Source organism: Homo sapiens, chromosome 1 (genome assembly GCF_000001405.40).
Source record: "Homo sapiens chromosome 1, GRCh38.p14 Primary Assembly".
Taxonomy (NCBI): Eukaryota; Metazoa; Chordata; class Mammalia; order Primates; family Hominidae; genus Homo; species Homo sapiens.
In genome coordinates, this window is record NC_000001.11 from 63,156,744 (window position 1) to 63,173,116 (window position 16,373).

Sequence of the window (16,373 nt, forward strand, 5' to 3'; positions counted from 1 at the left end):
GTTGTTAACCGTTTGTAGTTATGAACTCTGACACTGTTTATTTTAAAGGCCCAGGAACCCGCTGCTTTTGATCTGGTTTTATATTTTGTTCATAATTTGGGGCTTTTAGGTTTGTTTCTGCTCAGTTTTGATCCCTTAATTTATGATTTTTAGCCTACGATAACAAAATATACTTGTTATTCATTTCCTAGGGTTGCCATAACAGATTACCAAGAATTTGGTGACTTAAAACAACAGAAATTTATTCTATCATAGTTCTGGGGACTCAAGGTTCAAAATTAAGGCATTGGCAGGATTGGTTCCACGTGGAGGCTCTGAGGGAGAGCCCATGTCATACCCCTCTCCAGCTGCTGGAGGCTGGCTGCGAGCCTTGGCTTCCTTGGCTTGTAGCTACATCAATCTAACCTCTGTCTCTGTCTTCACATGGCCTTCTCCCCTGCGTCTGCACGTCTTTACTCTTCCGTCTTTTATAGAAATGTGTGTCACTGGATTTAAGGCCCGCCCTGTTAATACAGGATGACATCATCTCCAGATCCTTAACTTAATGACATCTGCATAAAACCCTTTTTTCCAAATAAGGTCATATTCACAGGTTCCTGGTGTGCATATCTGTTGTGGGAAGGGGGAGGTACCATTCAACCCACTACAATACTTACAGCTATATTTTCCAAAGCAAACTTTAATATTGAAAATCCCACAGGAAAAATTAAAATGGTTGTTATGACAAGTCTGAAACTTTCTAGCTTCTAACCCTTTTTTCTCCATTGCAAAAATTGCTTTGTAATGAAACTTTCATTATAAATGAATATATAATTAATATAAATGAATAAATAAACCACACTTTCTTAGGATTGTAACTGTAAGTGAATTAGTATCTGTAAAGCACTCAAAATAATATCTAACACAGAATGCATTATGTGTTAGATAAATAATAAAATAAAAGTTATGTTCTAGAAGAGTAGACTGTATTATCATTCCATTTTACAGATGAGGGACTAGGAAGTTCAGTGAGGTTCAGTTACCAGCCCAAAGAGTGAAAGGCCATGATTCAAACTCGCATTGTCTGACTCCAAAGCCAGGTTCTTTCACTGCACCACAGTGCCCAGTGGGAAGTTGGGAGGAAACAGCCTGAAATTGCCATGGCTCTGTTCCAAACGGTCCTGAACCTTGGTCAGAGTTGGCCCACTGGAGAGGGGATGTTCATCAGAGAAAGTTCTGGGGGCCAAGTCAGAGGTCAGTTACTATGAGATTCGTCTGAAATTTGCTGAGTTATAGGAGAGATGATGGTCCATGAGAAGAACGTAAACAAACAGGGCTGGTGGAATAAAAGAGGGATTCGATGCAAAAGAGAGAACCCGGTGAGGTGCTAGTAGTTGTGGGGAAATGGGATTCCATGAAAATTGAGAATGTGCAGTAGCTGAAGCTTTTGGGGGGCCAGGGCTGCCTGCAGGACATACCTGATAACATATCCTTTATAAAGGCTGAGTGAGGAGACCCCTACCATGTTTGAGGGATAGAGAATGTGCTGTTTCTCATCACCCTAACAGTACAACACACAAGAATAAAAGTAAAGAAGAGAGGGAAATCAGAGAGGTTAGGTTTCAGAAAGAAATGCAAATGAAGGCCCCTTAAACACACCATCTACGCAGAAGAGGATCATAAGTGCTTTTTTATAAACACGCGCTCTCTTCTACTTTTCTAAATTTTCCAAATTTTCTAGGCACAATATACTCTCATTTTATAGTAGAAAAACTAACAATAACTTTTTTAGAAAATTTTATTTTGTGTATATTTTTTGAGACAGTGTCTCTCTGTCACCCAGGCTGGAGTGCAGTGGTGTGATCATGCTCACTGCAGCCTGGACTTCCCAGGCTCAAGCAATCCTCCCACCTCAGCCTCCTGAGTAGCTGGGAATACAGATGCACCACTATGCCTGGCTAATTTTTGTATTTTTTGTAGACACAGGGTTTTACCATGTTGCCCAGGCTGGTCTCAAACTCCAGGGCTCAAGCGATCCTCCTGCCTTGGCCTCCCAAAGTGCTGGGATTACATGCGTGAGCCACCGCGCCTGGCAACAATAACTATTTTAAAGCCACTCTACTGAAAAGCACACATTCTTTATAGGCCACACACTCTGATGGGAGCTCAAGCTGTATCAGCTGAGAACTGTTAGAGGTCAAAGAGATAATATGAAAAACATGTAGAAACATCAAGATAAATAATAATAGTAATAAAGCATCCCTGGCATTTTAGTAAGGTGACTATGTCTGTTATGTTCGGGACTTTCATTAGGAGAAAGAGAATGTTAAATGGAATGATGAAGGAGAGGAACAGCTAAATGAATACTTTGAATCAGTATTTATTGAAGAAGACAATGGGGAAATTCTTGTTCCAAGGACACATTTTATGGCAAAGCAGAGAACGGCCTTGACAGAGATTCTTCAGTCTCTCAGGAGAAAGGTATGGAGCAACTTGAGGGACTCTGTGCAGTAAATCACCAGGACCAGATGGTATTCATCCATGGGTTCTGAATGAGATAAAGTGGGAAATCACAAGTTCAGTGACAAGGATATGTAAGAGATGCTTAAAAACAGCCAATATCCCTGAAGATTGCAAAGTCATTAATATGGTATCAAATATGTGTGTGGAATGCGTGTGTGCACACATGATCCTTGAGTATTCTGGAGCCTTTGGAGGGGCTGGGGTGGGGAGCAGGGCTGATTTTCTTCCTTTTTTTTAAAAAAACAAAAACAAGAAAGACTCCTTAATGAAACAAAGGACAGAGGAATTTTAGGTAGCAGAAAGAGCATCAAAAGATATGAGGCCAAATTTAAGGGCTGTTTAATAACATTGAGCAGTTATTTTCCAGGCACTCAGGGAAACACTAGGATATAAAGACGAATAAACATGCCCTCTGTCTAATGCGAAAGTTTATAAGCTAATGACTGGTTATTTTCATGGTCCTGCTACTGGCTTTGATGGTAATTGGCAACGTAGCACCTCTGGCACCACCAGTGGATGTAGGAAACATCTGGTAATTTTTTCTCACTAACAAAATCATAAAGAAAGTTTCAGTTTGTTTGGCAGAATCTGGGGACTTGGAAAGCAGAGATAGACTTTCACCTCTATCCCATAGGAGTCAATCTCTGGATCCTAAGAGTTATCCATTTGGTAATAATGCTAATAACAGAGTAGCTAACGTTTATTGAGTGCTTACTAAGTACCAGGCTCTTGCTCGATTCTTTGCCTGTATCTCTCATTTCATTCTCTAAACAGTTAATAAATAGAAGACCTAGAATTTGAACTGTAGTAGTACAATTCCAAAGTTCATGCCTTTAAACATGACTCTATACTACCTCTCCATATGTGTGTTTTATTCATAAAATGGAATTAAAAGTTTCACAAAACAATTCTTACCCTTATTGCAGATGATTCTCTTCTGTTTTATTAAAAGAATGATGCTCTCAAACCCCCAAATTGATTTCATGGCCCACCAACAGGTCACAATCCACAGAGTGTCTAGAGAAATAAGAGTAAGTAAGTAACCACATCCTCTTCGACACAGAGGAACGGAAAGCTAAATGAAAGCCCTGGTATTTAAATCTCAATGCATTAGTAAAGGTAATCAGACAACTTTTTTTAAATTGCCTTGGATCATTTCGAGGTGCTTTTAACATGGGGGCAGCTGCTATGTTCCTTCCACTCTCCTTGTTTTAGAAGAAACTTAGAAAAGTGTTCATTTCTTCACATTGAATCGTTGGGAAAGAACCCTAAGAGTTAAAAAGCTGTTTCTTACTTTGACCTGAAATCTGACCACCTGAAACTTCTACCCACTAATTCTGGTTCTACCAATTGGGACACACAGAATATTCTAATATTTTTTCTACCTAATATCCTTGAAATATTTGGAATGCATTAGTGTTTCTCTTGGCTGTTTTCCCCTTCAGCATAAACATTTCTAGATCTATTAACCACGGGTGAGTAAAAACTCAAAAGCCAATCCAAACTGGCCTAAGCAAAAAGGGGCTTCATCAGCTTATATAGTAGAAAAAGCCAAGGATTGTCCTAGCTGCTGGCACAGCTTGATCTGGGGCCAAATTAATGACACCAGGAAAGACCAATCTCTCTTAGCATTATTGCCCACCATGTTTGTCCTGATCTCCCTTGGAATATGGCTGAAGCATATTCCCATGAATAAAGTCCAGCAGGAAAGTTAATTTCTTTCCCAGAAGTTTCAGCAAAAAATTCTCTTCCATCTCTGTGGCTCTGAAGAGGCCATGTGCTCAGTCTTCCAGCTCTTACTGTGGTCAAAGGCACTGGATGCTTTGATTAGCCAAGCTTTAGTCACATGCCTAGCTCTGGGTTGAGAGGGCAGAGAGGCGGTCTCTAAGAGGGAGATTGCAGGGGAGGAGTCTGGGATAAAGAGAGGCTGGATAAGGAAAAGGCAATAGATGTCCATTAGAAACTGTTGCTTACATTTCTGTCATAAACTACATCATCAAAGCAGCCTACCAAACATCAAAATAAAACACACTGGTTAGCCTTCAAAGTTCCCACAGGTTGTGGGGAGACAGATTGGGGCTGGGCAATAATGCCACAGGTATGCCCACGCATACACTGAAATGATGCCCCAGTAGAATAGTAACTCCTTATTCCTCACCTGCCATCTCCTCTATGTAGCCTTTCCTGTTTCACGCCCTTCATAGAGCTCCTATTGGCACTTCTACTATATTGCAATTATTTGTGTTGCAGGCTCTGTTCTTCCTGACTGTGAGTTCCTTGAAGATGGGGATTATTTTATGAATCTCTATATTCCTCACACCTAGAAAATGCCAGACAAAGAGGCATATAATTATTGCTATGTGAATGAATTGCCCTGAGACCGTCAAAGAGGATACTCCATAGCAGTTCTTTGAGCATGGGATCAACCTGCATCTTTCTCAAGCTGCATAGATTTCAGTATCCACACCCATAAAATCAACAGAAAAAAACTGCTTTCAGATTCCCTGGCATCCTGGGGCATGGGTGGGTAACACAGCAAAGCTGAGCAGGAGAAATAGGAGGAAGACAGGGACTATCAGACAGATGGGATTGAAATTGTAGACCATGATTACAAATTAGAAAGCTGAGCCCAAAATGTCACAAATGTTAGAATTAGCAGTCCATAGGAACTGGGTTTAGGACTGACTCTCTTTACTCTGCTCCTTTTTGAACTACCAGAGGTGCTGGGAAAGGGAAGAAGGGTAGGGATGAATCTGGAGAAAACGAGCCTTGGCTATGGCCAACATGAGATCTGATTTCCTACCCTCAGTTAAAGTGGGAAGAAAAGGCTCTACATATGTATACATGTGCCATGTTGGTATACATATGTAACAAACCTGCATGTTGTGCACATGTACCCTAAAACTTAAAGTATAATAATAATAATAATAAAGGCTCAACTATAGGTATTTACCAAGCACCCTGTATGGAAGGACACAAACACAGTTCCCCATCACTGGGTTCACGTGCTATTGGCAAGAGCTGCAAGAAGGACAAAAAACCAAACACCGCATGTTCTCACTCATAGGTGGGAATTGAACAATGAGAACACATGGACACAGGAAGGGGAACATCACACCGGGGCCTGTTGTGGGGTGGGGGGAGGGGGGAGGGATAGCATTAGGAGATATACCTAATGCTAAATGATGAGTTACTGGGTGCAGCACACCAACATGGCACATGTATACATATGTAACTAACCTGCACATTGTGCACATGTACCCTAAAACTTAAAGTATAATAAAATAAAAGAATTACTTACCTTGTCTCACATATTAAGACTGAGGCAATACTTAATGCCTCTACAAAATGGCTTAAGCTCCTCAGATAAAAGAAGGTATAGAAATGAAGAAACATTTAAAACTGATAAAACTCTTCTGTTCAAAGCATGAAGTAGGCTGAAAAAAATGAAAAAAACTGTTATGTTGATTAATCCTTCAATGCACAATGTTATGCCAACAGGATGCAGATGATGCAGATGACATGAATGTTTTTCCTTCGCCTCAAACAGGGAGTCAAGTCGGAGAAGCAAGCATGAAAACAGAAACTAACCTTAAGCCAAAGCACAGGCCCTTAGCAATATTACTATATGCCCACCAGTCACCTGCCTGTGGAAATGAAATCATAACCATTCCCCTTTGCCCCGCTTCCTCTGTCACCCATCACAGACTGTGAGTACTGTCACAGGGGTATGAAACAGCAAATAATGACGCTGATACTTTTCTTACTGCCTCTTAAAGACAACCACTATTCATGGAACAACAGTTTGTAAGCTCAAAGTAATGATGGACAAATTGATTAAGAGATGCTTAATCTAAGGATTAGCATTCAGCCAAATGCTGCTTAACATAGCCAACAAGGATTCAAAAGCGGAAACAGCTGTGTTGTTCAGGAATTTGTTTGTAATAAAAGAGTAATTTTTTGCCAGTAAAATTCGGCATTAGTAAATCCTTTAGCATCATCTCTTTCTTGTTGGAATTCCCAAGCTGGAAACTTCCTGCGATCAATATTCTAAAGACATGGTTCCTGGGTCTGAGAGGGAGGCAACAGCACTATAGACATCAGAGAATTCTGGGCTCCATCCCTTCCTAACAAAGAAGCTGTCTGAATTCTCTTAGCCTTGGACATTCTATCCACAAAATAGGGCTGATAAGCAATACCTTACAGGGGTTGTTGTGAACAATAAATAAGCAATCATACATAAAGTTTCTAGCACTCTACGTAGGAGCTAAGAGGTTTTCAATCAATGTTTGTTCCTTGCCCTCCTTCCCTCATCTTCTAGGACTTCCAATATACTGTTTTAAACCTACATTTTTGGCAAGAAGAGCAAAACTCCGTCTCAAAAAAAAAAAAAAAAAAGCTACATTTGTTAGCCACTAAATTGTTTAAGGTAAATAAATGAAGCATTTGCTTTTTTTCAGAAAAGGAATTTTTTTTCTTTCGTTGTGTTTCACATCATATAAGCACCTTTACCAAAAAGCCTAAGAATGATGATGAGAAAAACAAAAAGCAGTGTGAGTATTTGTGTGGGCTCTTCCTGTAAATTAAAGTCATTCTTTTAGTAAGTTGAGGAGGGGACAAGAAGGAAGATGGAGGAGACAAAAATTAAAAAATTTAGGGATATCTATTATGTGATAGGCACTTAGTAGACATGTTATATAACATTATCTTTTTGTTGTTGTTTTTGTTGAGACGGAGTCTTGCTCTGTCACCCAGGCTGGAGTGCAGTGGTGTGATCTCAGCGCACTGGAACCTCCGCCTCCCAGGTTCAAGCGATTCTCCCACCTCAGCCTCCCGAATAGCTGGGATTACAGACACCCGCCACCGCACCCAACTAATTTTTGTATTTTTAGTAAAGATGGAGTTTCACCATGTTGGCCAGGCTGATCTCAAACTCCTGACCTCAGGTGATCAGTGCTGGGATTACCAGTATAAGCCACCGTGCCCGGCCAACCTTACCTGTTTAATAAATATGACTGTATCTTGACCCCTCTGTGACATCAAACCTCAGCTCTGCTCCTTGATAGTTGTGTGACTTTGGGCAAGTTACTTGACCTCTCTGTACCTTAGTCTCAACATTTGAAAACAAGGAAAATAAAGTGCATACCTCATAAGATTGTTAAAATTAGATGAGTTAAAACATATGAAACTCTTAGAACAGATCCTGGCACATAGTAAATATTGAATAAACATTAGTTGCTAATAATCATAATTATAGTGACAATAATATTTTAAAGCCCTTAACATCAATGGTGGCACATAGTAGATGCTCAAAAAATACTACCTGTTATTACTTAGACAATAAAAGTAAAAGATGATTTCTTTTACAAAAAAGCATTCTTTTTCATTAAGTTTATTCTCTATAGGAGCTGTCTCTATACCAAGCAGAAATATATGAACATCCACTCTTATTTTATTTTATAGATAATCAAATCAGAAGATAAATTTCTTGTCTCTTTATACAAAATCTCTTTTGGAGCCCATAGTGAGTTGGATAAATGTTTTGATTATCAGGCCATTAGGCAGAATTTCCAAGGATAGCAGTTCCTTAAGTCTCTCTCTTCCCTTATGCCCACTTACCCCCCAAAAATACCCACTCAGTGTCTAAGGGCCTCCAGGGAGGCATCTTCTCCATTTCTCACAGCCCCATCATCTCTGTCTCTTTCCTACCTCTCCAGCTCTTTACCTGTCACTCAGTGCACACTAAAATTCAGCAAAAGCAAACAACATGTGGAGCCCCACCCTCGCTATGCCTTCTCTCAGGTTCACTAACGTTGCTTTGTCTCTCTGTACCTGAATTGATCTGTCCTAGACCACAGGAGGCATTCAGTACAAGTTTACTGACTGAAGGATACTGAACTGCAAAAGAATCTGCATACCAAAGAAACTGTACGCCATTCAGACCTGGGCTCACCGCAAATATTTACTCTTTAATCATTTCTGCTTGTGCCTTCAATTAGAGGAAAATAATGCATGTGTCTTAAACAATTTTCAATATATGAGAGCAGAAATAGTTCCAGATCACCATATAAACAGATACAAAAGCAGCAAATCTCATGACATTGATGTGGAAGGCATAGAATTGTCTAGATACTTAGAATAATATTGAACATGGAGTCTTGATTGAAAATGGACTTTTTCAAACTATTTTATTTAATTAATTAATTTATTTATTTTTGAGATGGAGTCTCGCTCTGTTGCCCAGGCTAGAGTGCAGTGGCACAATCTTGGCTCATTGCGACCTCTGTCTCCTGGGTTCAAGTGATTCTCCTGTCACAGCCTCCTGAGTAGCTAGGATTACAGGCATGCACCACCATGCCTGGCTAAGTTTTGTATTTTTAGTAGAGCTGGGGTTTCGCCATATTGGCCAGGCTGGTCTCGAACTCCTGACCTCAGGTGATCTGCCCAGCTCAGCCTCCCAAAGTGCTGGGATTACAGGCATGAGCCAATGTGCCCAGCCTTTCAAACTATTTTACAAGTAATTCATCTACCAACTGAAGTGCCCACAATCCCAGGTGCTGTGACAAATGCAAAATATATGACAGATCTCTTTGTCCTCAAAGAACTTATGATACAGTTGTGGAAGGAAAAGATACATGGGAGGGCTCAGAATATTTTAATGCTAAACTGATGGTACTGAGAAAGCATCTCTTTAATTCTGAGAAAATGATTAGTTGGAGCTAAAATGAAAAAAGAATATAATAAAAAGTTCGGGTTCTCAAAGTACAAAAATACTGTAAAATTCACTTTAACCAGATTAATAACTTTCCCCCAAAATTTATAATTTTATACATTTTTCATGCAGGCTATAGAATACTTAAGCTGTGCTATACTATATCCTATATTCTTATGAATACTATTAAAAACATACATATTCACATGAGCTACAAAGCTGTAATTCAGCATTTCAACACCTATGACTTTCAAAAAATTCTAGAATTTTAGACCCGATTGTAATCATTTCCAAACTCAAACAGAGTCAAACTCTTCTATTTCTTTTTCCAGAAAGTTAAAAATACTTAATACATTAAAAACATGATGAATTTTTAGTTATTTGGGTTATCTACTTAGTCTGTGGATTATTCGGATTTCTTTCCTTTTTTTTTGTTTTTTGTTTTTTTTCTTTGAGACAGGGTCTCACTCTGTTGCTCAGACTGCAGTGCAGTGGCATGAACTTGGCTCACCGCAAACTGCGCCTCCCGGGTTCAAGCGATTCTCCTGCCTCAGCCTCCCAAATAGCTGGGATTACAGGTGTACACCACGACACCCAGCTAACTTTTGTATTTTTAGTAGAGATGGGGTTTCACCATATTGGCCAGGATGGTCTCAAACTACTGACCTCAAATGATCCACCCATCTCGGCCTCCCAAAGTGCTGGGATTACAGGCGTGAGCCACTGCACCCGGCCCTTCTTTCCTCTTTATAGAGAGCTTGCCTCACTTCTGCCCTTTATTTGTAAAGCACTTAGAAGAGTTCTTGGCAGGTAGTAAGTACTCAGTACCTATTACTACCATCACTACTGCTGCTATGACTATGAATATGACTACTACTACTACTGTGGCGTCTGCTACTTCTTTTACTGTTTCTACTCTTATTACTACTATTACTATTACTGCTGCTGCTACTATTCTATCTTTGTTCACTAGCACTTCCTTTACCAGAGGATTGGCAACATAAATAAAAGAACATGAGCCTTACCCTAAACCTAAGGGTTCTTAACTTGGCATCCAAAGACCCTTGAATATGTGAACTTGAATGGGGCAAGTTTACTTCTTTAGTTTTACTATCTGCTAATGTAATCACTGTAACATGAACAGTATCTATGACTCTGTCACTCTTAGAAATCACAGATATTTTCATCTCACTTTATAATTAATTGTTACAGAAATAGCACTTATGTTCATCAATACTTCTCACCACTAGATCTTGTTATTTAATGCATTAATAATGAAGGATATATATTACTATATCATATCTTTGAGATTTTTATCTTTTGATAGCCATATATAGAATATATAACTGGTTCCCTTCATAGTCTTATGTATTTCATTTTATTCATTTAAAAACATTATTTTGAGAAAGGTTCAGTGGGCTTCACTAGATGGCCGAAGGGGTTCTGGCACAAAAAAGGTTAGGAACCCCTGACCTAACCATTCACTCACAAAGCTTTGATTCATGCTATCCCTCTGCCCCAAATGCCCTACCCTCCTTTTCCTATTGATTCCCGCTTCACAGCTTGTACAATTTTGCCTTCTTTGTGAAATATTTTTCTCCCTCTCTATCATTCCAAAGAAATTGTTGATTACACTTACTTCCTGAGTTTGTAGCTCTCTTTTACTAGTTATATGATCTTGGACAAGTTTTTAACTTTCTCAAACTCATTTTCCTCAATTGTAAAATAAAAATAATAGTAGTAGATATAATACTTAGAGTGGTTGTGGGGATGAAGCAAGATTATACACATCAAATGATTACTAGGACATCTAGAATAGCAAATCTCAAACTTTTTTAGTTTCAGAACCCTTTTATTCTCTTAAAAATTTTAAGAACTCCAAAGAGATTTTACATGGGTTATAGCTATAGATATTTACAATATTCACATTTTAATATTTCTTTACTAATTTATTTTAAAATAACAATAATAAATATTGTTATATGTTACACAAATTATGTATTAACATTAATAATATTTTTATGAAAAAACTATATCTTTTAAAAAAGGCAAGAGGACTGACTTTGTTTTCCATATTTGTATGTCTCCTTAGTGTCTGTCTGGCTTTAATATCTATTGCAGTATGTTGTTTTTATTTAAGAATCAGAAGAAAATTGAGCCTCACATAGACATGTAGTTGAAAAAGAGAGGAGTATTTTAAGTCTTTTCAGATAACTGTGGATATCTTTCTTGAATACTCTATCAATCTGACAAGTAATATCTGGTTAGTTAGATAAGTTGAGATGTGGAATCTGAAACAATATCAATCAACTTTTCATATTCTGTTGTATTAAAATACAGTGGCTATCTTGCACTTTGAGTGGGTCTTTCATTCACATACAATTTTACACCATCATGCATTGGTCATTTCGAATAGTGTTGGTTCACTGGGTTATGCAGATCTACAAAACATTGACATGTTTCATTATGCAACATGGAAAAAAATCGCAGTCATTAATAGCATCGCATCTCATCAGAAAAGTCTTCAGATTTAGGGAAGCTGACAATTTCACGGTGATGTATAAAAGTCCTCCAGAATTCTAATTTTCATATGAAAGTTCAAATTTTATCATTGGTAACAAATATTGTCAGTCATTTTTCCTCAAAGTGACAGGCTCCCTTCATTCATTTTTGAGAAAACATCAGCCAAAAATACCCATGTCTAAATAAATGTAGTTTGCCTGTCAGTTTTTCTTTTCAAGTGAAAATGTGTTCCATGAAAAAAAGTGGCTACTCACTCATGCGAGTGTTTTTCCTCAAGACAAGCCTCATGCTTTGGTGTGTATCAGAGTGCTTTATGCATATTTCCATGGTGTCATATAGAAGATTCAATGAGTGTGGACTCAAGGGTCTATATTTATTAAAATTAATAATTTTTACTGCTTCATCAAAGCATTCTTAAGTGAAACTGGCTTTTTCCCCCTGTGTGTGCACAGCAGTGATAAATACAACAATGCATTAGTGGCAGATTCTGCTGCCATGCTTCAATTCATGTTAAGGCAACAACAGTTTTGCTCACCATTGCTTTTACACTATTGGAGCAAATGCTAACACAGTAAAAATGCAAATAGTGTCTTAGTATTATTGTGAAAATTGTTTTGACATTGTGGACTTACCGAAAAAGTCTTGGGGAACCCAGGGGACACATGAACTTCAATTTGAGAACGGCTTGTCTACAGCATAGTATGTGCTTAATCAATGATGGACTGATCGCATATAAAACAGGGGTCCCATGAGATTTTAATGGAGCTGAAAAATTCCTATCACCTAGTGACATGGTAGCTGTGATCTGTCATCATGTCATAACACAATACGTTACATTTTCTTTCTACGTTAAGATATGTTTAAATACACAAACACCTACCACTGTGTTACAACTGCATACAGTATTCAGTACAGTAGCATGCTATACAGGTTTGTAGCCTAGGAGCAATAGACTATACCATGTAGCCTAGGTGCGTAGTTGGCTACACCATCTAGATTTGTGTAAGTACACACTATGATGTTCACACAACAAAATTGCCTAACATATTCCCGTTGCTATGCAACATGTGACTGCAACTAGCTATGAGGACTATGCTTTCCTAATAAAAATAGGAATTATAATACCCAAGATGATCTACATATAAATAGGTAATAGGAAATGGAGACCATCCCCCCTCAAATCATTTTTGCTCTTTTTTTCATTTTCCCTCGTTTTATAGTTAGATGTATACATAGTATCCAAACATTACGGCCCAGGAGTCAGGCCTAAGTCAGAATCCCATTACTATCACACTTACATAAGCCAGTATTCCAATACCAGCACAGTGCTTTCTACAGAGCAAGTGCTTAATAAATACTTGTTAAATAAATGAATGAATGAACAACTAAGCAAATTCAAATCAGTCCATTCTGGGCTGATCAGCAACTCTGGTGAAAGGACAGAGACTGAAGTGGAAGATGGTTAGTTTATTTATTTGTGTTCGTTTGCTTTTAAGGTAGGCAGTTTACCTGTCGTACTCTTGTTTAGAAAATTAAATTTGTTTAATAACCAAACAACATTACTTTTTCAGGGAAATAACATTGACTTTTCTTCTTAGTAAGAAGCTAACATATGATTATGGTAGAAAGTGCAGACAAAAAAAAAGGAAGAAAATAAATTACTGGTCATTCCAGCATCTGGAGATAATCTTTTTATTGGCAGGGCGTGGTGGCTCACGTCTGTAATCCCAGCACTTTGGGAGGCCGAGGCGGGTGGATTACTTGATCCCAGGAGTTCCAGACCAGCCTGGATGACATGGGGAAACACCATCTCTACAAATGTGTGCCTGTAGTACCAGCTACTCGGGAGGCTGAGGCAGGAGAATTACTTGAACCTGGGAGGCAGAGGTTGCAGAGAGCCAAGATCGCACCACTGTACTCCAGCCTGGGCGACAAAGTGAGACTCTGTTTCAAAAAGAAAAAAGAGAGATAATATTTATTGAAATTTTATTATCTTTTTTCTAGGCATATAGGTGAATTTTTTTTTACCTCCTGTTTGTTGCCTCCTGTTTTCATCTCATATCATATAATGAATGTCCTTCTAAATTATTATACGTCTTTCTCTAACATATTTCTTTTCTTTTTTATCTTTCTTTTTTTTTTTTTTTTTTTTTTTTTTGAGACAGAATCTTGCTCTGTCGCCCAGTCTGGAGTCCAGTGGTAGGATCTCGGTTCACTGCAACCTCTGCCTCCTGGGTTCAAGCAATTCTTCGGCTGCAGCCTCCTGAGTAGCTGGGGCTACAGGTGCATGCCACCACGTTCAGCTAATTTTTTGTATTTTGGTAGAGATGGGGTTTCACCATGTTGCCCAGGCTGGTCTCAAACTCCTGAGCTCAGGCGATCCGCCCGCTTTGGCCTCCCAAAGTGCTAGGATTACAGCCATGAGCCACCACGCCCAGCCTCTAACATATTTCTTAATATGTACATATTCTATATTATTTGAATGTACACAGAAATAAAGTGAGTTTTTAAATAAATATTATTTTTTATCCACATTATTCCTGTCCCATCTCATCATCAGCCAGAAAAACTATGAATCAGAAATAATATAGAAGGAAACACTAAGTAAATTCAAAGGATCTACCAAAGCACTTTTACCTTTCCTTCACTGTCATAAGCACCATGGCAATGAGTAACACGCATGGCAGAAACAGTCCTGAAAACAAGAAAGACATAGAAACTTAGAATGTGGCCGGGAGCGGTGGCTCACGCCTGTAATCCCAGCACTTTGGGATGCTGAGGTGGGGGGATCATCTGAGGTCAGGAGTTTGAGACTAGCCTGGCCAAGATGGCAAAACCCCATCTCCACTAGAAATACAAAAACTAGCCAGGGATGGTGGCAGGCACATGTAATCCCAGCTACTCGGGAGGCTGAAGCAAGAGAATCCCTTGAGCCCGGGAGGCAGAGGTTGCATTAAGCCGAGATGGCACCACTGCACTCCAGCCTGGACGACAGAGCGAGACTCTGTCTCAAAATAAATAAATAAATAAACCTAGAATGCCCACAAATAAGATATTTTAAGATGTATCTAGAAAGAAATAAACCTGGATCATGTAGCCAGGGAGAAAAAATTTCCCCCTTGGGAAGCTGCACAGGAAAAGTGCTCGAGGATGGGATGTATGTAAACAGTTCAGATGGTCCATAGAAAGTTAACTCAGAAGCTGCAGGAAATGAATGGGCAGAGACATAAAGCAAAAAATAAGTAAGGCTTGAAGAATAAAGAACTCTGCTACTGCCTAGCTAAAAGGGACTTTTAGGTGGAGGTTAAGGACACTTCATTCTAAATTCCCTGCTTCAGTTCTTCGAAATTCATGTCTCTATTTTGAACTTTCTTCTTAACTTCAAAGATAGTACAGTCTGTTGAATATAAAGGAAACATCCAATTGAGAAGAACACTACCAAAGAGAGAGAAGAAGTCAACAGGCAACAGAGCAAGATTACAAATAAGAGGGAGATGAAGTGGAACTGGATGGTCCCGAAGATGTAGTCTCTCACTCTCCCCTGCCTCTCAGAATATCTCCTATAACCTAATGTATGTACTAAATCAGGAGTCTGGGAACAGCAAGTAATTTCTGAATTTTAGTAAGATTGGAAAGGTGATTTTTACTCAACATGGTTCAGTGGCTTAACTAAGATTCAGAGAGTTCCAAGTTCTAGTCTCAGCTCTTTCAATAACGTATTGAAAAAAACCTAAGCCCCTCAGACCAGCATTCCACATCCTTAATTTACACTTAATTTAAACTTCTCAACTTCGTTATTCCTTCAATGTCATTCATCCAGTGAAATATGTCCACTCCATCCAAGCCAATCTCACTTCAAATCTTTGAATATATCTTGCTAAAAAAGCCTGCCTCCAAGTACTTACTTATGTAATTCCTTCTTTCTCCCATTTGTTCCTTCAATCAGATCAAAATGCACCTGCCACCTCTGCAATGTTCCTTAAATAATCCCCCTCTGTTTTGATCATCCAGTTATTCCACTCGTTTTAAAGAACATTGTAAGTGTGTGGACAAAAAAATAATTAGAAAAGTTTATTCAAACTATCATTGGCATATTGCTCTCAAATTGTTTAATTTGGGCCTTTTTTATTCCTTGATTGGATTGTAAATTTCCTGAGAGGCACTATGGCATCTAATTTTTTTTTCAAGACAATGGAAAATAGAAAAAAGAAAAAAGGAAGAAAGGGAAAAGAAAGAAAAAAGGAAAATGGAGAAGGGACAAGAAAAGAAAGTAGAGAAACAAAAGATAAATCTGAGAAGTTCTATTTTCTAACATATAAAATGAAAATAATGACATGGAGCTGCTTTGTGAAAGTCATATTGACATAAATAGATCTAATTCTAATGACCAGTCAATTTAAGATTGAAATCAAACTCCCCCAACCCCCGCAGGCTGCTTACTTTTTCTTTTATACACTTATCACCTTTTAACACAGTATATAATTCATTTACTTATTGTTTATATTTTATTATTATCTCTGTACCCCTACCAACTTGAAGCAAGCTCTATGGTGGCAGGGATCATCAACTGTTTTCCTCACTGATGTTTCCCTCCAACCCCTGGTAAACTCTCACTGAATGAAGAAAGCTCTCTGAA

At 38.6% G+C, this 16,373-nt stretch overlaps 1 long non-coding RNA gene across 1 annotated transcript in view; it reads right to left on the bottom strand.

Moving 5' to 3' along the window:
* Nucleotides 1–2,339: 2,339 nt before the first annotated feature.
* Nucleotides 2,340–16,373, bottom strand: part of LINC00466 (long intergenic non-protein coding RNA 466) — a 158,175-nt gene continuing 144,141 nt past the window's right edge. Inside the window, exons 7-12 of the long non-coding RNA NR_038252.3 lie at nucleotides 13,409–13,681; nucleotides 7,501–7,612; nucleotides 5,804–5,939; nucleotides 4,661–4,822; nucleotides 3,418–3,519; nucleotides 2,340–2,527 (exon numbers count right to left, since the gene is read on the bottom strand). This is a non-coding gene — a long non-coding RNA (long intergenic non-protein coding RNA 466). The remainder of the gene's footprint in view (nucleotides 2,528–3,417; nucleotides 3,520–4,660; nucleotides 4,823–5,803; nucleotides 5,940–7,500; nucleotides 7,613–13,408; nucleotides 13,682–16,373) is intronic.